Below are 26,328 nucleotides of genomic sequence, written 5' to 3'. Positions count from 1 at the left end.
TTGAATCTATAAATTACCTTGGGCAGTATGGCCATTTTCACGATATTGATTCTTTCTACCCATGAGCATGGAATGTTCTTCCATTTGTTCATATCGTCTTTTATTTCACTGAGCAGTGGTTTGTAGTTCTCCTTGAAGAGGTCCTTCACGTCCCTTGTAAGTTGTATTCCTAGGTATTTTATTCTCTTTGAAGCAATTGCGAGTGGGAGTTCACTCATGATTTGGCTCTCTGTTTGTCTGTTATTGGTGTATAAGAATGCTTGTGATTTTTGCACATAAATCTTAAATGTAAATCTAACAAAACACATACAGGACTTGTATGCTGAAAACTACAAAATGCTAGTGGAAAAAAATCAAGATCTTAATAAATAGAACGACATACTGTGTTCATGGATTAGAAGATTCAACATAGTAAAGATGTCCATTCTCCCCAAGTTAGCATATACATTTAATACAATTCTTCTTAAACTCTCAGCAAGACGTTTTTTAGGTATGGAAAAGATTTTTCTAAAATACAGTTGAAAAGGCAAACGAACCAGAATAGCTAAAACAATTTTGAAAGACAAAAATAAATTGGGAGGAATAAGGTTACTCAATTTCAAGAGTTACTGTGTATCTATAGTAATCAAGACTGTCTGATGTTGGCAGAGAGATAGACATATAGATTAATGAAACAGAACAGAGAATCCAGAAACTAACCCATACTAATAAGCCAACTGAGTTCTGACAAAGGTGCAAAAATTATCCAACATAGAAAAGGTAGTACCGTAACAAATGATGCTGGTGCAAGTGAACATCCAGAGGCAAAAAACACCAAACCAAAAAAACAACCCTCAACTTAAGCCTCACATCTTATATATGAAATTTAATTCAAGATGGACTACAAATTTAAATATAAAATGTAAAATGATACCACTTGTAGAAAAAACATAGAAAAATATCTTCAGGGTCTAGTACTAGGAAGAGTTTTAAAACTTGGCACCAAAAGCACATCCATAACATTAAAAAATGACAAATTGGACTTTAACAACATGAACTTACTTTTTGTGAAAGATCCTGTTCAGCAGCTAAAAAGACAAGCTACAGAGTGAGCAAAAATATTTTCAAGGCATACCTCTGACAAAGAACAAGTGTCTAGAATATATAAAGATTTCTCAAAACTCAACCATAAAAACCAAATATGCCAATGAGAAAATGGGCAAAAGACATGAAGAGATATTTCACTGAAGAGGATACATAGATGGCAAAAATGAAATCAGCATTTGAAATAAATATGTGAAATTATATTCAACACCATAAGAAAAGCTGCAGAGTGAGAAAAAATATTTTCAAGCCATACGATATGGTTTGGCTGTGCCTCCACTCAAATTTCATCTTGAATTGTAGTTCTCATAATCACCATGTGTCATGGGAGGGAGCCAGTGGGAGGTAATTTAATCATGGGGGTGGTTACCCTCAGGTTGTTCTCATGATAGTGAGTGAGTTCTCACAAGATCTGATGGTTTCATAAGGGGCTTTTCCCTCTTTTGCTTGGCACTTCTTGGTGCTGCCATGTGAAGAAGGATGTGTTTGCTTCCCCTTTTGCCATGATTGTGAGTTTCCTGAGGCCTCCCAAGCCCTGCAGAACTATGAGTCAATTAAACTTCTTTCTTTTATAAATTACCTAGTCTCAGGTATGTCCTTACAGCAGGCTAAGGATGGACTAATACACCATACATCTGACAAAGAACAAGTATCTAGAATATATAATGACTTTTCAAACCTCAAGAATAAAAACCAAATATTCCAATGCGGAAATGGCCAAAAGACATGAAGAGATATTTCACTGAAGAGGTTTTATAGATGGCAAAAATGCAACAAGCATTTTAAATAAATGTGTAAAATTATACTCAACACCATTAGCCATTGAATAAGTATGTGAAATTATATTCAATATCATTAGCCATTAGGGGAATGCAAATTGAACCACAATCACATTAAACCTATCAGAATAACTAAAATAAAAAAAAAAGAAAACACCAAATGTTGGTGAGTTTGTGAAGAAACTGGATCACTCATACATTGAGTAAGAATGTGAAATTGTACAACCATTCTGGAAAACAGTTTGGGAGATTTTTTTTAAAACTAAGCATGTAATTAACATATATTCCAGCAACTGCACTACTAGGCATTTATCCCAGAGAAATAAGGACTTTGGTTTGCACAAAAATCTGTACACAAATGTTTATTAAAGCCTTATTCATATTAGCCAAAACTGAAAACAACTCAGTTGTCCTTCAACAGATGGTTAAAATAAACTGTTATTTACATCAATTCCATAGAATATTACCTAGCAATAAACAAGAACAAAATTTCGATACACATAACCACCCTGATGAGTTATCCTGAGTGAAAAAAGCCAACATTAAAACGTTACATACTATATTATTCCATCTATATAACATTTTTGAAATGTAAAATTATAGAAATAGAGAACAGATTAGTGGTTGTCAGGAGTTAAGGAGGGGGTAGGGGCAGGAGGGAAGTGGGTGTGATCATAAAATGGCAAGTTAAAGGATTTTTGTTGTGATGGGAATGTTCTGTTTCTTGACAATATCAATATTCTGGTTGTGGTACTGTTATCATTGGATGGAAGATGTTACCACTAGAAGAACCTGGGTAAAGAGTACATGGAATCTGGCCAGGTATGGTGGCTCACGCCTGTAATCCCAGCACTTTGGGAGGCCAAGGTGGACGGATCACGAGGTCAGGAGATCGAGACCATCCTGGCCAAAATGGTGAAACCCTGTCTCTACTAAAATTACAAAAAAAAAAAAAAAAAATTGGCTCAGCGTGGTGGTGTGCACCTGTAATCCCAGCTACTCGGGAGGCTGAGGCAGGAGAATCACTTGAACCCGGGAGGTGGAGGTCGCAGTGAGCTGAGATTGTGCCACTGCACTCCAGCCTGGCTGACAGAGTGAGACTCCATCTCAAAAAAAATAATAATTAAAAAAAGAGCACATGGAATCTCCGTCTATTATTTTTCTCAACAGCATGTGTGTAGAGCTACAGTTATCTCAAAATAAGAAGCTTAATTAAAAAGTTGATCCACTGTGAAAATAGCCTGCTTCAATAGTCTGGTTTAACCTCCTTTAACATACCTCCCATTAGTGGTTCCTTGGCATAAAAACTAAAGTGAGCATTGTAGAGTGGTTCTGGTGATATTATGGCTTCGTCAGCTTGGATGGCAACAATTTGGTGTTGAGCAGCAGATGAATTTTGTACATACTATTTACTCCAGTGGCCTAGAGGTATGCTACCAGATTTACCACTGTTTAACCAGGATCCAGTGCAGCACTTTGCACACGCCTGTACCCTCATCCCCAACACCAACAAATCAATAGGTATTTATTGAATGTAATAATAAATAAAAGGACACTTTCATGACTCTGCTAACTGTACTGCCTCAGAGTTGGACTGTGTTGATTTTACCTCAAGTCTAATGGAATTGTTGGCTTTTAGATTCCCTAGGGATGAAGTCCAAAAGAAAGATAAAATTACTTGTCTGAAAATTTGGTATCCAACTTACTGAGAAATCAACAACATCCCTTGGTGGAAGCCAAAGGAAGTGCCCTTGTGTAGTAGACAGAGCATGAGTTACATATTATCCTATAATTATCCATCACTAAATGTGCAATAACATATAAACAGGCAGCATACATTTCATTACAGTAGTGCCTCTAGTCACCAAAAGTTGAAATCAGTCAAACTATTTAATGGACTTTAAACCATGACAATTCTTAGAATAGAATACCATGCAGCTATTTAAAGGGATCTGGTAGGTATGTATTACTTGACACAGAAAGATATTCAAGAAGAATTTTAAAAAGCAAGTTCTAGAACAGTTCTCATTTTTGTGTAAAAAATTTATATGTATGTCTCTTGGTTTGGTAGCCTATGCGTAGAAAATATAGAAATATATACTCTGTCTTATTAACATGGTTATCTTGTGGGGGTAGGATTATGAAGAACTTTAACTTTTAACTCTGTTCTCTATCTCTTTAAGTTTGAATGGGTTTCTATTAATATCAAGAACTTTTGTTGTAATTAGACAAATACGTTTTTCTTTTTTCTTTCTTCTTTTCTCTCACTCTCTCTCTCTTTTTTTTTTTTTTTTGTAGAGGCTAGGTCTCACTCTGTTGTCCAGGCTGGAGTGCAGTGATGTGATTATGGCTCACTGCAGCTTTAAACTCCTGGGCTCAAGCAATCCTCCCACCTCAGCCTCATGATTAACTGGGACTGCCACCATGCCTGGCTAAGTTTTTAATTTTTTGTAGAGATGAGGTCGTGCTATGTTGCCCAGACTGGTCTCAAACTCCTGGTCTCAAGTGATCCTCCTGCCTCAGGCTCCCCAAGGAACGGGATTACCGGCATTTTTCTTTTAAAGAAAGAGTACAGGCTTTGGAGGTTAACAGACTTGTGTTTGAATTCCAGAAGATTACACAAATTTGGACAAGTTTTTTTAACTACGCAAATTTGGACAAGTTACTTGGTCTCCCCAGTAAGTAATTTTAGGAGCCCCAGTTTCCTCATCTGTAAAATAGGGAGAATGATACTTACCATAAAGTTCTGTAGATTCAGTAAGGTAATATATGATCCAGGACCAGGCTTAAAGTGGTTAATCTATAAAGTAAATTCCTGCCAAGGAATTCCTTTTTCAATTGCCAAGACTGTTGAAGAGTGGTAGATTTCTGATCATTGCACTTGCCTACAACATCTTAATCATGTAAAACCTTGATATCCACCTGGCCCTGTAGACTCACTGAATTTCTAAGACTGGCTACTTCCTGTCAGTTGTTTTCTATTCTCTTCCAAGATCCAAAGTCAATGTCATATGCAGTCTCAGTACCCTGGTTCGGTGTTCATGTTCTACAGACATGCTTATCAATTATTCTTCATTCAGCCATTCAGGTTCAGAGTTTCACCATTCTATCTCTATTATAAGCTAATTTAGTGATGGAGAGAAGCCCTTCAAAGCTCTGTGTCTTCATCATTCAGTAAATCCAGCTAAATGGGGCTAGGTGTAGAAGCCACCAGGACGTTCTTTGATTGGATCTCTTATTTGCAGCTTTGTTTTGGGAGACAAGTGTTCCCCTAGCTTTTGGCCCCTGGGGCAGAGAAAGCCTTAGCTTGGGCCATTGCACTACAGAGTTCTGATGCTGTGTAGTGAAAATGGGTTGAGATAAGCCAGCCAGATGATTTTAGAGCATTTCAGATTAAACCAAGCCATTATGGTTGATTAGTTCCAAACTATTACATGTCACACAATGTAAGACTCTGTGACCCTTAGTGTCCAGAAAGATTCAGCCCAATCTGGCGGTGAGCATGTTGCCAGGAAGGAGACAAATAAAGATGAATGCCAGCTGAGGGTGGAAGAGGTGACATGGCTAACAACGTGGAGCTGATGCAGGTCAAACAACTCCAGATATCCCCTCTTATGGCTGAGAGGTGGTACAAATACATGGGACATTTCTGCCTGCACTGTGGATATCTGGGACATTGTGTGAATCCTTTCAGTGACAGGAAACTCACTAACTTTGGAGGAATGTCATCTTCACCAAGCTTTGTGAGAACATTGCCTATGGCTACTAATACAAGCATGCCAAATTCTGTGTTTTCTCTCTAGGGACGATGTGGAAAGCTATCCTACAAAACAGTTACTATGTTTTGGAATTAGTGGCTACAGTTCTCTTAGACTACTTGTATGCATGAGTTTCTAATGCTGAACTTCAGGATTTGATTAAGGTGGAGGGACCCAAATTCTAAGCAACATGGAACAGATCTCTCAGTACAGAAGCACAAATAGGAGAAAGACTCTCAGGCTGGTGGGCAACCAATCAAATATCTGAGGACTCCATCACAGCACATTGCCAATGATTGACATCTGCCTAAGTGTGGAATCTATCTTCCTATCAACCTTAGGAGCAGCAGTGAAAGATGACATTTTCTCAAATGCATTGCTCCTTGAGCTTGTCTGTCTGACCCATCACTACTGACTTTGAGACTTTCAGTTCAATTCGTTTTCTTTAAAAAAAAAAAAAAAACAATTTCCTGTGTCTAAGGGAGAGAGGAAAGGCTAAAAAATATCATTATAAAGGCTCCAAAGATTTCTGGGACATCAAATTGCTCTGACAAACCATTTTTATGAGTTAAGTGTAAAGGAAACAGAAACATGTGGATTAAATTTCCCTTAAAATACACATGGGCTTAAAAATTAAGGGGGGAAAGAAGGACTTGGCAACGTGGATTTCAGGCTTTGCCAAACCCCAACTCCTGAGAAATAACTTGAGATGCTTGACAAACCCAAAAAGCAGCTGGTTTTGCCCTGTGCCCTCATCGAGCGACATCTAGAGTCCTGTGTGATTGGAACCTCTGTAACTGAAATGTGCTAATTTACAAACTCATGCTCTGATTCTTCAAATTACCCTAAGCATTCCCTGTTTATAAGATTTCTCCCTAAAGGCCTAGTCTTCTTCAGGTTTTCCTTGTACCCAGGCAGAGTCAGAGATCAGCGTTATAATTCACATTTCATGGGTGAAAACACGGAGCTCCATGAGGTCTAAACTAGAGAACTGGTGGCAGATTTCTCAAGACAGAAAATTTACCATATGCACCTCGCACTTGCCTTAAGTACAGAACATCCTTGGTTCATTAAGTTCTGTGGTGAATTTGTAGACAGATGACAAGTATAAACTTTTTGTTGAGCATTGAGAATTCAGAGGGGTGTGTATAAATTTAACTAATAGCATTCATTCATTCATTCATTTAGCCAACGAACAAATGCTTATGGAGTCCAAATGTACTATTTGAATCACAATGGAGAATAGAAATAAAAACTGCTAGCTCTTATTGGGGTTTACCATGTGCCAGCTATTGTGCTAGCCCCTTTACATGTAGTATCTCATTTAATGCTCACTGCAACTCTCAGGGGTCTCTGCTACAACTATCTCCATTCTACAGATGAGGAGGGAGACATAGAGGAATTTGATAGTTTTCCTAAGATTGGCCAGAAAGAACAGATCTGTGATTCAAAGCCCAGATTGATGTTAGAGACACCTGGATGCTGCCTTGTAGAACCTTGGGAGTCCCCTGGGCAAGCTAAGTCGTATTCAAATGTAAATATAATAAAGAGGCATAAATATCCCAAAGACATTCAGAATGTACAGGGATTACTTTCTGCTAAGATTGGGGAGGCTTTATGTAGGAGGAAGCTTTTGCAAAGAATTTTAAAGGATGGGTACAACCTGAAAACCAGGAGAGGGGTCAGAGTCCTTCCTGCTGGGGAGACTATCCAAGGGTGGGGGAGAGGATATTAAAGAGAGAAGCCCAGGGAACACTGGAAGGTATTGGAGAGATGCGGGGAGACCTCACCACATGCAGCTTTGACCCAGGCAAATGCACTTCTGTACTATCAGCCACCACAACAAAAAACAAATCCTCCAGAGTAATTTAAATAGCTCAGGCAATTTCATCTGCTATTGCCCAGAAAATGAGTATAAGATAGAAGGAATCTGTTATTTCCTCATTTGGGTTCTGACTGAGACTCTCTTGTGGTGTGAGCATCTCACAGTGCTAAAGTGATTAAAGGTGTACGTTTTTGCACAACATAGCCTCTTGCCTTGTTGGCTGGGACTCAGATGAAGTCTATTCCAAGACTGTTCCAGTCTAAGCTGGTATCACTGAGATGGGGTAAATGTGATCATATGTGATATTGGCTGTATCTTCTGATTTTAGAACTTAACTCTCCTGTATAAATGCAGATCCACTATATCTGCTTACTTTGTAAATGAACTCTTGAAATTAGAAGGGTCAAGTTGTTAAAAATGCTTTGAGAAGATGTAGCCAAAAACAGATAAATTCAAAGAAACTGTACATTGTGTGTGAAAATATATGCAAAACTTAAAATTGTTACTAATGGATGAAAATATATTAATCTCTCTCTCTCTATATATATAAAGAAATATTGTGCTTAAGGAAAAAACAACTATTTGCTTGTTTCTGACAAACAAAGCATAGAGATCTTTGATGAAAATGTTGTTTATAAATAATAGCAGGGGGCTTTAAGACTTGGGGGTGGGAAAGTCAGTAAATAAGCAGCGAAGCTGAGAAAATTCATCAAGGAAAATACAGGGAAGTTGATTTGTAAGAAAAAGAAATTGAAAAACACTGAAGATGCATGAATAAATCTTCAAGACAATCTTAATATGGTATGAGTTGACATGACACATGTGTAGCAGAAATACATGATAACTATTATTTTGACTTTTTTATCTAAATATAAAAGCAAAATATACTCATTTTTTAAAAAGTAGAATATACAGAAAAAATCTCACAAAAGATAAACAGGAAAAAGCAAAAATCATCCATAATTCTATAATAGAGAGAACTACTATATCTTTTGGTGCATTTTCTTCCATATGTATGTATTTTCCATTGATTTGGGCTCTATATCAATTGCTTTCAAAATTTAACACACATCAATTCACTTGGCTATTAAAACACGCAATTGCTCACCCTTGGAGTCTCTGACTTAGTAGTTCCAAGGTAGGGCCTGAGAATTGGCATTTTTACCAAGTTTCCAAGTTTCCAGATGCTGCTGCTTCTAGTCCATGGACCGCACTCTGAGATCCACTGCTCTACAAGGTCTTGGTTCTTGCTGTTTTCTCTGTATATTGCCGTAGGAGCATTTCCCCCCAAGCCATTAAAATTACATAAAAGTATATTTTCTAATGGTTGCAAAATGTTTTATTACATGATTTATTAACCACTCCCCAGTGTTGTACAGTTTTTCTATACTCATTAATTGGAGGTTTCATATTTCTTTACCAAAATAATTCTAAGATGACTGAGATATAACTCTAGCCTTGAGACAGAAGCACACCTAAGGTTGTGAGGCACTAGGAGACTTCTTATGGTTATTTTGCATTTTAGAGGATCAGATCACAACACTCACACCATCAATAGGAAGGTTCCTGATTAAATAATTTTAGGTGTGCAGCAAGGACCTCGTAAGCTGAGGAAAGCTGCATCTCCCATGAGGTTGCTACCAGTGACTTCTACAATGGACCAGGTGGTTCTTTTGAAGGAGATTATCAAAATGAATCTCAGAGGCTGTTGTTTTGAAGTTCAACCAGCTGAAAATCTTGTTCTGGAAGCTGCTTGATAAACCTTTGGTTCCAAAGAGACCTTTGAAGCTCTTGGTGAGCAGACTCACCACAAACAGAATCACGAGTAGATTGCTCTCACCCTCCTGCCCTTTTCTCATCCTCAGCAATGAGCAACAGAAACAGTTAAACCGCCAGCAGCTCCCAAACAGTGGTTTCCGCCCTTAGCGACTGCCAGCCCCTGCAGGCTCACCACACACAGCCTCAGAGGTCTGGCTCCGAAGCTCCTCTCTGCCCAGACGCCGTAACAATAAGGAGAAAGGAAAACTGCAGCCACCACAGAGCTTCAGAGGCCAATGATCCGAAGCAACCTCCACCCTTACCCCATGGCCTGTGCCTTTCTTCTCATCCATTACCTTTCCCCAAAAGTTCACCAAAATCAGTGACTCTCTTTCTCATTCATTGTCTCACACTGTCCCTGAAGAAAAATTCCAAAGAGATCCAATGAATCTACATTTCACAGGAAGGATTCTTTGGACACTCTGGTACTATTCACCATGGGTGAACCCAGTAAAATAACAGTAACAAGGAGACCAAGTGTTGCTTGAACAGTGATATTTACCAAGCATGCTATGTGTGGGTATTATCTAATTTAATCCTCATATGAGCCCTGGGAGTTCAGCACTATTACTTTTCCCATATTACCAATGTAGAAAGAGGACCACAGAGGCTAAACCACTTGACCAATGACACTCAGCAGTGGACTTAAGTCTGTCTGACTCCAAAGCTCATGCGCTTCACAGCCGTTTTGTTGTTGTTGTTGTTGTTGTTTGTTTGTTTGTTTTTTGAGACGGAGTCTTACTCTGTCGCCCAGGCTGGAGTGCAGTGGTGTGATCTCAGCCCACTGCAACCTCCGACTCCTGGGTTCAAGTGATTCTCCTGCCTCAGCCTCCGAAGTAGCTGGGACTACAGGCATGCGCCACCACATGTGGCTAATTTTTGTATTTTAAGTAGAGATGGGGTTTCACCATGTTGGCCAGGCTGGTCTCAAACTCCTGACCTCAGGTAATCTGCCTGCCTCGGCCTCCCAAAGTGCTAGAATTATAGGTGTGAGCCACCTCGCCTGACCCACAGCCTTTTTAATCAGCTTCTTTTACAAAGATATCTAGTATTTAATCTTCTGTTCATCAGACTCATTTAAATGCCAAAGGCCAAATGTTTCACTTTTTTTTGGAGAATCTTAAATGGTAGAGTAGATTCTTAATAATCTAGTTTAAATTAGTCAATAGAATGTTCTCTGATTTCTTAGGTTGCTGGTTCACACCCTGCCCCCTCACCTCCGTACTCAGATCACAGGGAACATGTGCAGGTTAGTGTGGAAGGGACTTAGAGTTATCACATCAAACAGCAAGAGGTTTCAATAATAGAAGCTACTACCTTAATTTGAAAAAAAAACCTGAATTTAAAAAATCCATAATTTAGTACATATACATCCATACTTTTATATATTTAATACATGTGTATCCATAGTGGTTTGAATGTGCCCCCCAAAAAGTATGTGTTGGAAAATTAATCCCCAGTGCAACAGTGTTAAGTGGTGGGACCTTTAAGAGAAAGTTGGCCCATGAGGCCTCCACCCTCATGAATGGCTTAATGCTATTATCTCAGGAGTAGGTTCATTATAAAGGATGAGTTTGGCCCCCCTCTTCTCTCTCTCATTCTCTCTTTCCCCTTCCACCATGTGGTGCATTCTGCAAGATGGCCCTTGCCAGAAGCTCGTGCCTTGATCTTGTACTTCCCAGCCTCTAGAACTGTGAGAAAAAATTCCTGTTTAATATAAATTAACCAATCTGTGGTATTCTGTTATAGCAGCACAAAACTGACTAAGACAGTAACTGAACACACACACACACACCGCCCACACACGGCTTTTTTTAATATCATGGTGGAACCCAGATTTCTTAATGAAGAGTAGAATAGTGGTTTTCATGTATCAGTGTGCATTGGAATCATCTGGAGGGATTGTTAAAAACTGCTGGGCCCCATCCCAGAGTATCTGCTTCAAGAGTCTTGGGTGAGACCCAAGCAGCTGCTGCTCTTCAAGATTCCCAGGTGATACTGATACAGGTATTACTGGTCTTGGGATCACCTTTGAGAATGATAGGAGTAGAGGATATACCAAGGCTTGACTCTGGAGAAAGGAGACTCTGCCACAATATTTTAAAGGAAATTGCCTTTCTTCCTTGAATTCATACTGCATTGCCTTTTTGCTGAAATGAGTGGTGATACAACTAGAAAGGATGACCGTCTCAAGAATTGGGCCCACTTCAAACCGAGTCTTTCATATCATGACATGGGGTTTCCCCAAGGAAGAGTTGTAGCCCTTAACTCCCAGCGGTGGTCATTTACAGATAAAAGCCAGAGGAAACCCAGTGTTTTCCAATAGGCTGGCTTAACACAGTCTCCTCTTTGTCAATAATGGGAAAAGATATTGGCTTCTTTGTTACCTGACGTAATTTCAGAGATGGTCACAAACAAACTCAGTCATTTTCTGTAGCTGTCACAGAAATTGGATTTTCCTCCTGCTGCCAGAAAGATCATGGTCTCTTGCTAGAATGGTGATTGCTTCCCATATTTGCCCATCAAAATGCCTTGTGAAAGTTCTTCCAGGACTCAATGGCTCAAGCCTTGTTCTGTATGCATTGATTCTGGAAGTTTCTTTGTGTACAGAGTACAGAAAGTTTAGAATTAGCATTTAGTAATAGTTTCATCTAAATTAATGGGTTGAGTTATGTGGCAGAAAGTTTCTGCTATTTCTGCCAGACTTGGGCTGTCCCTGAATGACACAAACAAGCAGGTCAGACCCTTGTTCCAGTTTGAACAATTCTTTGTGTCTTGAACTATTCTGGTAAAGTAGAATGGCATCCTAAGTGCTGCACTAGGCTACACATTCTGTATTACCAAACAATCAAATTCTCAAACCTCTACTCCCTCTGCTTAGGATGGAGAAAGCCAGTCTAATTTCTAAGGCTTGCAGTCTGAGAGAGAAGCAGAGAACTAGAAAATGTAAGTCTGTTTTCTTCTTTGATAAGCTTCCTTGGCAAAGTCCAATGACCTGAATTATGGTGTGGCCTGTGGCCTAAGAATCTTGAAGTCGGCTCCTGGCTTCCCCTGCCTCTAGCCTCTCTTCAGGCAGTGGTGCCTGGCCCATAGTGCTGTGGATCTATCACTTGGTTTCCAGGGGCAATCATGCATTCTCTTCTTGATTACCAGCCACTGGAGGGAAACAGGGCCACAGATAACCCTAAACAGAGCTAAACCAGAAGCCAAGTCTAGTGTTTGGTTTGAGAAGGCATTATTTGGTTTCTTTATATAGCTATTTTGCCCTTCTAGCTGATAGCAAAACAAATTTTTGCTCCCTGAGTACACAAGGTCTCACGGTGATGGAGGTGAACCAACAATTTGCTAATCAGGGAAGAAAACAGAACCCGAAATTTAACAAAGATGACTGAATATGCCCCTAAAGGATTCCTCCTTTGCGGAGAGAATCTGCCAGGTGGCTAAACCCCATGGTGAAAACGTTTATGCCTAGGTTATTAAGAAGAAAGCTTGTGGGGGCCTGCATTCCAGATCTGTTCCCTAGATCCCTGGAGAAGGGACAGAGGTGCTGGGACTATAAGAGATAATTAGGGCCCAGCTCTCTCCCTCAAGGAGCCAAGGACCAACAAATGGCCTAATACTTAGTCATTCATGTAGCGAATATTTATTGAAGACTTAGTATGTGCCAGGGAGACTGTTTTGGCAATCAAATCTCAGAGTAGAAAGTCTTTCGATTTGGGGTCACAAGTCTCCTGGGTAGCATCTGTTCTGTGCTGTCCTTCGTGGGTCATCACCTGACCTCCAACCACATCTCACTTTTGTGAGACAGCTTATCCCACTGTCCCACAGTCACCAACACTTAAAGGTTCACTTTGTACTGTCCTGAATCTGGGATCTGCCTTCTAATATCTTACCCTGCACGAAACCAGTGCATATGTGCAAGAATACATTGGAATAACTCAATAACCTTACTCACCCATCTGAAGCCTACCCTCCTCTCCCTTTAAAATGACCACAAACATAAACACACACCAAACCTGAAAAGTTGTTGGGTTTGTTTTTGCTTCTGTGCTTGGTGGTGATGGTGGCATTTGTGTGATACAATGAATTCAAAACAAGATGGGGAGAAGATTAGGATAAATATGTTTGGCCCTGTGCCTAACATGGTGCCTGGCATGCAGTAGATCTTCAGCAACGATCTGTCAAATGAATAAGCAAATGAATGAATGAATGACCAGATGAATGAATAAAATGTGAATTACTGACTAGACCATAAATTTTTAATGTTATGGACTTTGTCTCCTATATCTTCATATACCCAGTAGCTAAGACAGTACTTGGCCCATTTATAGGGGTTCAAAAATGAGTAATTTCTGAATGAATAAGTGAAGTCATAAAATTGATGACCATTGGCATATAAATGGGCATGAAATAAATGTTGTCTGAACAAATGAATGAATGAATATGCAAGGCAAGGAAAGATGCTTCACTGGTGATAGTTATTAGATTTCAGCTGGAAAGACATTGTAATTATAATGGGCAGGTGAGCAAAGTATGACTGTTTAGTAGGGCTATGGTTGCTTTTTCAGCATGAGAAACTTTTTCCTATTGTTGACTCAGCAGCCCAGGCAGTCAGGCTTCATCCTGTGCTCTTTTCTAGCATGCTAGTTTTCACCAGGTGAGATGGCAGTGGTTTTTTTTTCCCCCTAAATCAAACTGCTTTGCTTAGAGATGCTACATTTGCTTGATTCACTTCCCAGTTGCTTAAGGGAATGTGGATGTTAACTAGAAATGGTTACAGATGCTAACAGAGAAGCTTTCTGGTTTGGTATTGGAGAAAAGAAAGATATGGAGGAAATGAGCAATGCATACTGACATCTGTGCCTCTGTCCTCGTAGGACCACCTGGAGACCCAACACAGACACAAGAAAAGAGTGGACATTCCATTTCTTCCAAGAGATTTCTTCTTGATTCTGGAACACTCTTGGTAGAGCAAGTTTATTTCCCCCAGGCACGGTCCTTAGCTTCTCAGAGCCACACTCTCTGAAGAGGAGATGGCATTTTTCTTTTGATCTCATCACTTCTGGCTTCTGGAAGGCAGCCCTAAGATGATATAGGATTAAGAGTACTAAAATCTGATTTGACTTTCCTGCTGCAATTGTTAGATCCTTAACCTCTGAGTCAGTTTGGCTACACTCCCCAGGAAACCAAGTTTTACTTTGTCCTAGCAAAAATCTGACTCAGCCTCTGCCTCTTTGGAAGGCATTGTGATTTCCATGCCAGTCATGAAAAGGAAAACGAGGGAGGCACAAATGATGCCCACTACTTAGTAACAGACATTCTCACCAATCTCCTCCTTCTGAGATGCCACCTGATTGGCTCTCCTATGCTCTACTAAAATGAAGAACAAAATACTGGCAGCAGTATTTGGGAGATACGAAAGGTGCAGCCCTAAAGATAATAAAAATTTGTCATAAACTTTAGGAGAATTACATGTAGCCTAGTGGATTAAGTACCTTCCTCTCTAAGCTAACTAATTCCTGGTTCTTTGTTAAACTAGGGTCATTTGACAATTTATTTGTGAGGCAAGTATTTGGTGCTAAAAAGATACTTTAGAGAAATAAGCGAATAGGCTACGGAAGCTCAACAGATGTCCTGAACCATGTGTCAGAAGCTGTCACCCTTCCTTGCTTCAGAAGGACCCCTGAAGAATTTCTGAATGGCCCACAGGAAGAGCCAATAGCATCCTAGTTGGCTAGGCCATCTGCAGCAAAGAACTACAGGCCAAGTTCACAAGAGAAGTGAAGGTTACTCTAGGCCACTGTTATAGGCAGCTGGCCAGTGTTCAGGTCAGCCCAGCTAAATGAAGCCAGTTAAATTAGCTGGGATGAATCATAATCATCATCATAATAAATAAATAATACCATAAGGCCCCTAAATGTGTGGCTATTAGACATCTGGGTATCAGAAGGTCAGTTCTGTGCAGTAGGGTAGCACATGTCTATTGACATAGGCTTGACCCAGATTGATTTGCCCTACTTGGACATTACTTGTCATTGTAAGCAGGTATCTCCCAGTCATAGAGTGTCTTCTAAGAGTGAATCCACTCAAAATAGACAATCCCATATGTTTAGTCAATAATGAGTTAAAATACCATCCCAGACAAGGAATTTAGGGAGATATAAAAAAGATTCTGAAGAGACATAGTCCTAGAATCAAATACACATAGATTTTTGAAATGATCCAGTGACATTCTCCTGTAGATGTTTTGCCCCCTCAGAAATTACTGACAGCTTCCACAGGGGTCTATCTATTCTGATCATTTGTCAGGATAGAAGGGGCTGACTGATCCAGACTCTTCTTTTCAAACTAGAAATAATACTTTTAAGAGTTGAGGGACATGGTTTTGAGATATTGCCTTTCTTTGCCTCTCTAGGATGGAACTATTTAAATCCTCATTTATTAAGTCATTGTTCTCTAAGCATTCCAGTCCCTCATGGCTTGGAGGCTGGAGACAGGTGCTCATGAAAGCTTGTCTTCATGTCGTTAATTTTCAGAGGAGGGGAGGAAATGAGATCAGACACTGTTCCAAGAGTAATTTTGATATCAGATATTCTTTCAAACATCTGCAAATCAATAAAAATTGAGATGAGAGGGGTCACTAAGAGGCATGGTACAGTGGCTAATGAAATTAGTTACCATCTGCCTGCCTAAACTGGACTGCAAATAGAGAATTTAATACTTTCACTTTCAATTTCTGAGATATCCTTATTTACAGTACCAAATAGACTCAACTCTTCACTGGGCTCTTAAAATATTTAGTTTGCATGTTTCCCCAAGTAGAAAGGATGGTGGGGGAGAATGCCCTGGCTGCAACTCAAATGTGCCAGTTTAACATTATTCAGAATGTTAAGAGAAGGTTAAATCACTACATCAAGGTATATATAGATTCGATCTAAAGAGATAGGTTACATGTAGGTCCTATATCAATATTTCCTTGGGCTCTTCTGGCTTAAGAACCCTTACAATTCTATTTTCTTGTAAATACAAACATGATATTCTTATTTCATAGCTGGAGAAAATGAGTCACAGAAAAGCAAAGAGATTCCCTATGAGTTATTTAAGTTCCTGTTTAAATTGCTGGGTGAACGGTAAAGTTGGTGCTGTAATTCTAGAGGGTTCTTGGTCCTGCCTGAAATCCTTTGTAGAACAAGAGAGTTGAAGAGAATGAAGAGAAACATATTGAGCAGGAGGAAGAAGGTAAAAAGGGAGCAAGGAATGAGCAGAGGAAAACAGAATTGGAGAGAAAAGGGAAAGAGGAAAATTAGAAGGGTGGAAAGGAAGAGAAAGTAAAATACTCAGCCATGGCAGTGAAAGATGTAATGATCTGGGAGTTTGCATCCCAGCCCTACAACTAACTAGCAGCATGATTAAACTGTGTGAATCTCAGTTTTCTTATCTGTGAAATGGGACTAACTATATCTGCCTTGCTTTTTTTTCACAGGGCTTGCCAGACCACAGGAGACCAAGTATATGAAAGAGCTTTGGAAAACACAAAGTGCTGTTCAGCTCCTTAAGGCAGCACTATGGCAGAAACAGTTACTCCATATTAGGGATTTGGGATTTTGGTTACCCTGGAGGGTCACTTAAGACGTTTTGAACTCCCCATTGCTATTGAGTGAAGAGTGCCACACATTACAACGGGGCCAATGTGGGCTTCCTTTATAAACAGTGAGGATTCCAAAGCAATCCCGAAGGGAGGAGGGTAAGCTGCCCTGAAGCATGGGCTCCAGGCGCCAGGAGAAACGGAGCTGTCTCCCTGCTTTTGGATGCCAAGACATCAACACTTAAAGCAGCCACAGGGCAAGTTTGATTCTGAACCAGCAAAGCAGAGAAAGAACTCAATTGAGATGCCCTGCCCTGTAGGCTAGCTTCCTGCTGACGTGAATGAGAACTTCACACTGGTAAGGAGCTGAGGACTGGCTCGTAAATTTTAAGTATCCCTTGGGTTTTCTTATGAGCGAATCTGCTGTCCTTTTGGCCTTGGAAGCAGAATTAGAGGCCTTCTAGTCAGACCTAAGTGATGGGCAGAAAAAAAATGGAAAACTGTTTCTGAACACCAGCAAAATAGCTCTTTCTGAGTCTACAAAGCAACTTCTAGGACTCTAAAGTGAGGCTCTCCCCTACCCTCATGGCATAACTCTCAGGAACTATAAGCACTGATTAATTTAGCCCCTTCACTTGCCTCTCATTAATGGCAAATATCAGACTGCCTTTGTGGGTAGAACACTCAAGAACATTTTCTTGAAACAATGAGAGAAAAATGCAGGGCCTTTCCATCCCTGCATTCTTCCATAACCCCCATTTTTCACTTGGGTGAGGTTGAGTGGGTTTCTTTCCTTAGGTGACTCAGACACTACCTGTGTGGTTGTCGGTGCACACACATGGGTGATTGTGCTGAAGCTACCTGGACTGGAGACAAGAATGTGTGTCTTGCTAACCCGTGGATGATAATTAAATTCATGGAAGCAGCAGCAATGACCCAGGAGCACGTATAGCTGGAGAAGAAGGTCAGAGGTAGGGTGTGACCAGGAAATAGATTAACAAAATGGGGAGGAGGGAAAGAGGATGGTGTCACTTCATAAACCATGGTGTGGTAGAGGGGAGGCACACCGGACCTTTTTGGGGAGTCTACTACTCTAAAGGCTCTTCCTCTGGGCTAGCCCATAAGAGAAATATATTTGTTATTTCCTAGCATTTTTCCATGGTTATTGGTCTATGTGGACTCTTGTAGGGTAAGTTTTAGTTATTTATATTTGCCTATTTCCAAAATAGTGGAATCACACTACATATTGAGGTGTGTGGGATCTGCTACTATCATCATTGTCTCCAACATATACTTTTATCTTTTCTGATTGTAAGAATAATTAAGTTACAAATAATTATTTAAATAAGCAAACAAAAAAATAAAGAGACATTCACGTGGCAGAATCCAGCATAACAGATAAAAGAAAATATATACTCCTATGGGAAGTTCTCAAGATATATTGTTCAGCTAAAAAAACAAAACAAAACAAAACAAAAGCAAAGTAAAAAACATATTGTCTTTTGTATAAAGGGAGGAATAGATAATGTATATTTAACTCATCTTATTTATGCATGAATTAATTTTGAAAGCTTACACAGGAAACTAATAACAGTTTTCTGGGTGTGAAATTGGGTGCATGGAAAAGCAGGGATAGGAGAGAGACTTTTCTGTATATCTTTTTCATTTTTTGTGCTGTATGAATATATTCCTTGAAAAATTAAAATGGAAATTGTGCATTGTGGAAAAATTAGGAAATTGATTAAAGAATTTTAAAATTAAAAAAAAAAATGCAGGGCCTTTCAATGACTCTGGGTCCACCATCACAGAAACGGATACATACACAGTTACATTTAAATGGCATCTGAGGGTAACTTACTGAAGGCCTGGCAATTGTGTTAACCTTGTGCTCTGCCCAGCCATCAAAGCTTGGCCCACTCAAAGATCATTATGTAGCACCCATCCCCACACTGTGTAACAAAGCAAACCTCCCAACCCCAGCAGCCTCTATATTCAGCCTTTTGAGCTGGAGATTTAATATTGGCCTATATCCCATTCAGTAATGTCTGTTTAGAGGAGTTTGAGAATTGGTTGCCCTTTTTAAGGTTTCATTTACAAACTTATGAAAAAGAACAATATTTTGCTATGAAAAAAGATCTAAGATGATTGGCTTGCCATGTGATTTGAGGATCGTTCCCACCTATACCCAGATGCAGAATATCTTTTGTTTGTTGTGGCCCAGATCAGCGTTTACTTCTTCAAGATCTTTTTAAGAAAGCCTGGCTCTAAATGTAGTGTATCAGCTGTTAGGTCACACACCATTATTAAAATTAACTTCTTAGGTGCTGTTTGGGGGTCAAAGGTGTGTTAGGCAATGTCCTATGCACTTCACGAATATCATTTAATCTAATGGCAGGAACTAAACGCATGAGGTAGGTTGTATTGCCTTCATTCCAAGGATAAGAAAACTGAAAGTCAGGGAAGTGAAGCTCTTTGTCCAAAGCCATGATGCTGTAGAACCAGGACTCAAAGCCAGGCTTGTCCAATCCAAAGTCTGGGCTCAGACTACAGTACTGTGCTGCTTTTCCGTTCGTAGAGGTTGGTTGGTAATGGAAAGAAACCCGATGCCACATCTCACTGACTGCACTGAGTCCCAGCTCTGCGACTTTGAGTAAATTATTTACCTCTCGGTATGTCCTTTCTCACCTGTAAAATGGGGAGAATAAGGCCTGCCTTATCTGCTTCACAGAGTTGTGAAGACCAAATGCAAAGATCTTGCAACTGTAACACACCTCACAACTATAAGGGATTAAAGTATTTCTGATTAGAGAAGCCTCGCCCCCAGGTCACAATATCAGGGAACTCATCCTAGGAAAATTTTGATAGAAGAGGGTAACAAGAATGGTGACCCTTTGCCTATGGTTGGCAGAGTTCTTGGAAGGGGTGGCTGATTATATTTCCCAAATATATACATATATACACATATATGTATACATACATGTGTATGTTTCCATGTGCATATATATGTATAGATGCCATATCATATGATCATCTTACAAAAAGGAGTGTAAAGGTAGTAGTCGAATGTTCTTTGCTCTTGAATCTTGGCAGTGGGTTGCAACTTCCTTGATCAATGTAATATGGTGGAAGTCATGCTATGTGACTTGAGAGTTAAGTGAGTCTACGTCATATAAAGGATACAGACTCCACCTGGCTCAGCATACTTGCCCTGGGAGTCCTGCCGCCATGTTGTAAGGAAGCCCCAGTCACATGGAGAGGCCATGTATGGGTGTGTTCTAGGCAACAGACACAATGAGGCCCTCAGCTGACAGCCAGCATCAACCTCCAGACATGTGAGCAAATGAATTTTCAGATTATTCCAGATATTTGATATCTTCAACCTTTGAATCTTCCACCTTAGGCCCCAGGCATCATGAAACAGAGACAAGCTATCCCCAGCACGTCTGAGCTGAATTCCTGAATCACAGAAACTATAAGGGATAATAAATGACTATTGTTGTTTTAAATCACTAAGTTCAGAGTGGTTTGTTATGCAGCAATAGATACCTAATGTAGGGAAACACTAAAAATAGGGTCAGATAGACTCCAGGATAACATCATAGTTTTCTCTAAGATTCATCCTGCCAGGGGAGCTTTCCATTCGTAATGTTTGAGATGATGCTGGGAGTAAGAGATGTTGAGTCTAGGCCAATTTGGAATTATAGACTTGAAGGATGGACCAGCTGCAGACCACCAGAAAATAGTTAACCAAGCAGGCAGAGCAGGATACTGGATAGGGTAACTTTTCCACACTGAGATGCTTTATACATTTTTTTTGAAAGTGAAAGGGGGTATAATTAAAATAAAGTCACTCTGGGACTCTGGGACAACAGGTATAGATGGAGATGTCCTGGGTAAACTAAAATTTATGTTACAAAGACTAGGTCAACACTGGGGAGATCAGTAGGAGGTGATCATCATCATCATCATCATCATCATCATCATCATCATTGTCTGACAGGCTGGCCAACAACAGGAGGGGGAAATCAAGGAAGAGGATTATTTGGAAAGGGAGAGGAATCTCTTCTAATTAGACTATTTGGAGAATTGAGGAAGAGGACTATTGGGAGGAAACCGAGGAAGAGGACTATCTGGGCAGGGAAGTCTGTGTTTGCAACAGTTATGGAGTCACAAGCTGTGGGTAGAAGCAGGAGTTGAGTTATACATGGGGAGAGAGGAGCCCAGTTTTAATGACAGAAAAGCTAAGAAGGAAAACATGTCAGCATTATACTGCTCCAACACTGAGCAGTGTCTTAACTGAGAGGGTGAATTGCATCTACATCCATTTTCTTTTGAGAAACTCCTTAACAAGAAGTGGAATAAGGAGGAAAAAGGCATAAAGGAGTCATCTGGAGTTTATTATGTATGGAGAGCAGGCAGGCAAATAAGAAAAGGAGTAGAAGGAAGTTCTAGAGGGAAGATACCTTGGGCTAGGGTGCTGGTAGCTCTAGATTCTTAAATACATAAGGATGGGATGCCACCTCCAGCCCAGCAGTTCCAGGGAATAAGTCTTTAGGAGCTTGTCCAGTGTCTGCCTCATACTCTTTAGAGACTAGGAGTTTGTCTGCAAGGCAAAGACCACACACAGTCCCCAACCGCACCCCTGCTGTCACCCTAAATGACATTGGTGTGGTTCAATTAAAATTTTGTGAGAGAGGAACAGATTACAAGGACATTGTAGTTGTAGATTTCTCCATGAGGTGATTTACCGAAGTACTCAAAGATTCCTTTCTATCAAAAAATACTGTAATATTTATAGGTCACAGAAGAAATAAGATCTTGACTTGTGCCATATATTTTACATGGCTCATTCCAGGTAATTTAGGTTCTTTCTGACATGTTTCTGACACTTATGGCAATTGTTTCTCCTCTGGGGAGTTGGGGAGAATTTTCCTGCTCTTCTTTACTCATCTCACTAAGGCTGTGCTCAATGAACTAATGAAGCCTCTCTTTAGGGCTGACTGGGAATTTCCTGTTTGTTCCTGGACCTCTTGCACTTCTACACGTCGACACTCCTAAACCCCTGTTCTTATGCCAGATTTGAATTTTCTCACCTCTTTTGTGGAGTGGACATTTTGTGCCATTGCATGGTGCGGTGGCCTTCAAATGTTTCTGCCCATGACTCAGTAAATGCATACACTGCATATGTAAAGCTGAAACAAAAATTTCACAACATGTTATTGACCTCACATAGCACCCTGCTTTGTACTCTAATGGTTTCCATCACATATTGTTTTGAGCTGTGCTTTCCTATGCTGGGCGATTCTATTAGATTAAGTGAAATTCAATCACTATAAATTGGAAATCATTAGCCCTGATAGGAAACATTTTACACTTAAGAAGATTGACTATGTGTTTACTTGTGAAGAAAAAGAAAAAAAAGGAAATATCATAGGAGTATTTTCATCTCATACTTTTAAAGACAACTTTAAAAGGTGAGTTACAATTGGAAATTTTATGCTTCTCAGTATCCTAGGAATGAAATTTGTAACAATTAAGTCTATTGCTGAAATTTTACAAGCCAATTTTCCCACAGAAATTTCCCAGAGGAAATTTGAGTATGTTGTTTGTATGAAAGTAGGACAGAGCCTATAGTGGGCTTTAAGGAAAATCAATCTCTTCTCTCATACATGAACATGAGTGTTTGCCTGTGAGCATGTGTGCACACACACACACATTTTCCAAATCTCTATGAAATTCTTATCAAATACCAGCATACAGAGCATTTAATTTATCAGTCAGATGTGTCTCTGAAAGTCTATTACTAGGTGAGGAAACACACAAACCATAACCTAGTCAGTCTTTTGAAAGTGGTAAATAATATCAGATAATTTTCTATTTTTAAAGTTATTGGGTTGTGGTGGTTAAAAAAGAATAAGATTTTTTTTTAATTTATTTCCATAGGTTTTTGGGGGAACTGGTGGTATTTGGTTACATGAGTAAGTTCTTCAGTGGTGATTTGTGAGATTTTGGTGCACCCATCACCTGAGCAGTGTACACGGAACCCAATTTGTAGAGTTTTATCCCTCACCCCCCTCCCACCCTTTCCCCTGAGGTCTCCCAAGTCCATTGAATCATTCTTATGCCTTTGCATCCTCATAGCTTAGCTCACACTTATGAGTGAGAACATATGATGTTTGGTTTTCCATTCCTGAGCTACTTCACTCAGAATAATATTCTCCAGTTCTATCCAGGTTGCTGCGAATGCCATTAATTCATTCCTTTTTATGGCTGAGTAGTATTCCATCATATATATATATATCACAGTTTCTTTATCCATTTGTTGATTGATGGGCATTTTGGCTGGTTCCATATTTTTGCAATTGCAAATTGTTTATAGCGATAAACATATGTGTGCAAGTTATCTTTTTCGTATAATGACTTCTTTTCCTCTGGGTAAATACCTAGCAGTGGGATTGCTGGATCAAATGGTAGTTCTACTTTCACTTCTTTAAAGAATCTCTACACTGTTTTCCACAGTGGTTGTAGTAGTTTACATTCCCTCGAGATCATGTCCTTTGCAGCAACATGATGGAGCTGGAGACCATTATACTAAGTGAATTGAGGGAGGAATAGAAAACCAAATACTGCATGTTCTCACTTATAAGTGGGAGCTAAACACTGAGTACACATGGACACATGTATGCTTAAGGATGGAGAGTGGGAGGAGGCAGAGGATTGAAAAACTACCTATTGAGTACCATGCTTATTACCTGGGTGATGAAATAATATATACACCAAACTCCCTTGACATGCACTTTACCTATGTAGCAAACCTGCACATGTACCCCTGAACCTAAAATAAAAGTTAAAATACAAAATAAAATCATATAGGGTAGCAGTTCCTTTCCATCTGCTACCATACCTAAGGGGAAAAAAGGATGTGATTTCCAGTATGACATTTCTTATACTTTTATTTTTTTAACTTCAATTTAAAGGTACTTTACTAAAATTGCCAAGAATAACAGTTAATAAAGTGAATGTGCCAACACTTTGTCAAAGCTTAAAGTTTAGGTACAGGTAGATACAGATCACTCCTAGCACCAGGCCTTCAAAAAAAAAAGTCCTAGTTAGAGTGGGTTAAAGGGTGCTGCATTCATTTGCTAAGTTATAAAATAAACTCATTTTGTTGGATGTAATCACTTCAAATATGCAGATGAAAACTGGAAACTCAGAGCTATGTCATTGTTTAGCATTAGTTCACTATTGCAATCATTTCAAACTCATCTTTGTCATGAGAGACTTCAAAAATTAAAACACTTTATAGTACTTATATAACACTTTATAGTTCACAAAAATGGTTTTTGAAATTTTAATTTTTGGTGTATGCTTACATACAAATTTTAAGTCTGATGAGTTTTAACAAATGTTTTGATAAATGTATATACCTATGTAACCCACACCCCAATCAAGATAGGACATTTGTAGCACCCCAGAGAGGTCTAGTCTATTGCACACCCTCTTCCCTCCAACACACACACACACACACACACAAACACACACACACGGCACCTGTTGTTCTGATTTTTATTATTATATAAATGCACTCATACTGTATGCATACTTTTGTGTCTAGCTTCTTTCACTCAACATGTTTTTGAAATTCATCCATGCTGTTGTTTGTATTAGTAGTTTATTGCTTTATATTACTGAGTATGAATATACCAAAATTTATTTATCCTTATATCTGTTGATAAATATTTGGGTTGCTTTCACTTTGGGGCTATGATGAATAAGACTCCAATAAATATTCAGGTACAGGTCTTTGAATGGACATACGTTTTCCTTTATCTTAGGTAAATAGCTAAGAGTAGAATTGCTGGGTCCTAAGGTAGGGATATGTTCAATTTTATAATCAATTACCAAATAGTTTTCCAATGTAATGATTCCATTTTATACTCCCATGAACAATCTATGTGAATTCTAGTTGTCTACATCTTTACCAACATTTGGTATTGTCAGTATTTTTAGCCATTAAAATAGTGTGAGGGGTATTTCATTGTGATGTTAATTTGCATTTCCTTGATGTCTAATGAATTTCAGCACTTAAAAAATGTGCTGCTAATTATTTTTATATCTTCTGTGAAGTGTTTGTTCAAGTTTTTTGCCTGTTTTAAAAATTGGGTTGTCTTTTTGTTGTTGAGTTTTAGTAGTTCTTTATGTATTCTGAATATAAGTCCTATGTGACATGAATATATTTTTCCAGCCTGTGGCTTGCTTATTCACATATTTTTAAATGGAGTCTTTAATTTTTAATTTAGATGAAGTACTTTTTTAATGGGTAGTACTTTTTGTGTCCTGTTTGAAGTCTTTGCAAATGGTTTATCTTATATTTTCTTCTTTATAATTTTAGCTTATACATTTAGGTCTGTGATCCATATAAAATTAATTTTTGTATGAGATAGGGGTTGAGATTCTTTTTTTCCCTTCAAATTATGATCTAGTTGTTCTAGAACCATTTATTGAAAACATTTTCTTTTCCTGATTGAATGATTTTGGCACTTTGGCTGAAAAATCAATTAATTGTTTAATAAGGGTCAAGTGTTACATTATCTGTTCTCTATTGGCCTACTCATCTGTGCTTACACTAATACTATATATCTGGATTACTGCAATTTGATAGTCTTGAGGCCTCTGTATTAGTCCATTTTCATGCTGCTGATAAAGACATACCTGAGACTGGGCAATTTACAAAAGAAAGAGGCTTATTGGACTTAACAGTTCCACATGGCTGGGGAGGCCTCACAATCATGGCAGAAGGTGAAAGGCCCATCTCACACGGTGGCAGACAAGAGAAGAGAGCTTGTGCAGGGAAACTCCCCTTTTTAAAACCATCAGATCTCATGAGACTTATTCACTATTATGAAAACAGCATGAGAAAGACCTACCCCCATGATTCAATTACCTCCCACTAGGTCCCTCCCACAACATATGGGAATTCAAGATGAGATTTGGGTGGGGACATAGCCAAACCATGTTAGCCTCCAACTTTGTTCTTTTTTTGCAAGATTGCTCTGACTATTCTATATCCTTTGCATTTTTATAACATTTTGGAATCAATTTGTCAACTTCAACAAAAAAAAACTCCGTGATTTTGTATTAGCCAGGGTTCTCCACAGAAACAGAACAAATGGGATATATATAGATATATCGGAGATTTATTATGGGATTGGCTCATGCAATTATAGAGTCTGAGAAGTCCCACAATATGCCATCTGCAAGCTGGAGAACCAGAGAAGCTGGTGGTATAGAATTCAGTTCAAGTTCAAAGGCTTCAGAACCAGGGCATCCAACAGTGGACAAAGACCTGAGAACTGGAGGAAAGAGCAGGGTCATTCTGGTGTAAATCCTGGAGGTGGAAGGCCCAAGAACCAGCAACTCTGATGTTAGAAGGCAGGAGAATATGGTCATCCCAGTTTAAGAAGCAAATCGCCCTTCCTC

At 39.3% G+C, this 26,328-nt stretch overlaps 1 protein-coding gene across 13 annotated transcripts in view; it reads right to left on the bottom strand.

Annotated features, from left to right (window-relative positions):
- Window positions 1-26,328, bottom strand: part of ANKFN1 (ankyrin repeat and fibronectin type III domain containing 1) — a 470,940-nt gene that overhangs the window by 210,343 nt on the left and 234,269 nt on the right. The window contains exon 1 of one of the 13 annotated variants that reach the window (XM_017024267.2): window positions 21,942-22,057. The exons of the other annotated variants lie outside the window; for them this stretch is intronic. Within the exon in view, the coding sequence (XP_016879756.1) occupies window positions 21,942-21,976 (35 nt within the window). The 5' untranslated portion in view covers window positions 21,977-22,057. Of the gene's footprint in view, window positions 1-21,941; window positions 22,058-26,328 lie in introns of those variants that run through there. 13 annotated transcript variants of the gene reach the window in all.

The sequence above is a fragment of the Homo sapiens genome, chromosome 17, assembly GCF_000001405.40.
Source record: "Homo sapiens chromosome 17, GRCh38.p14 Primary Assembly".
NCBI lineage: Eukaryota > Metazoa > Chordata > Mammalia > Primates > Hominidae > Homo > Homo sapiens.
The sequence above is the reverse complement of the archived record's forward strand: the minus strand, read 5'-3'. Positions and strand labels throughout refer to the sequence as shown.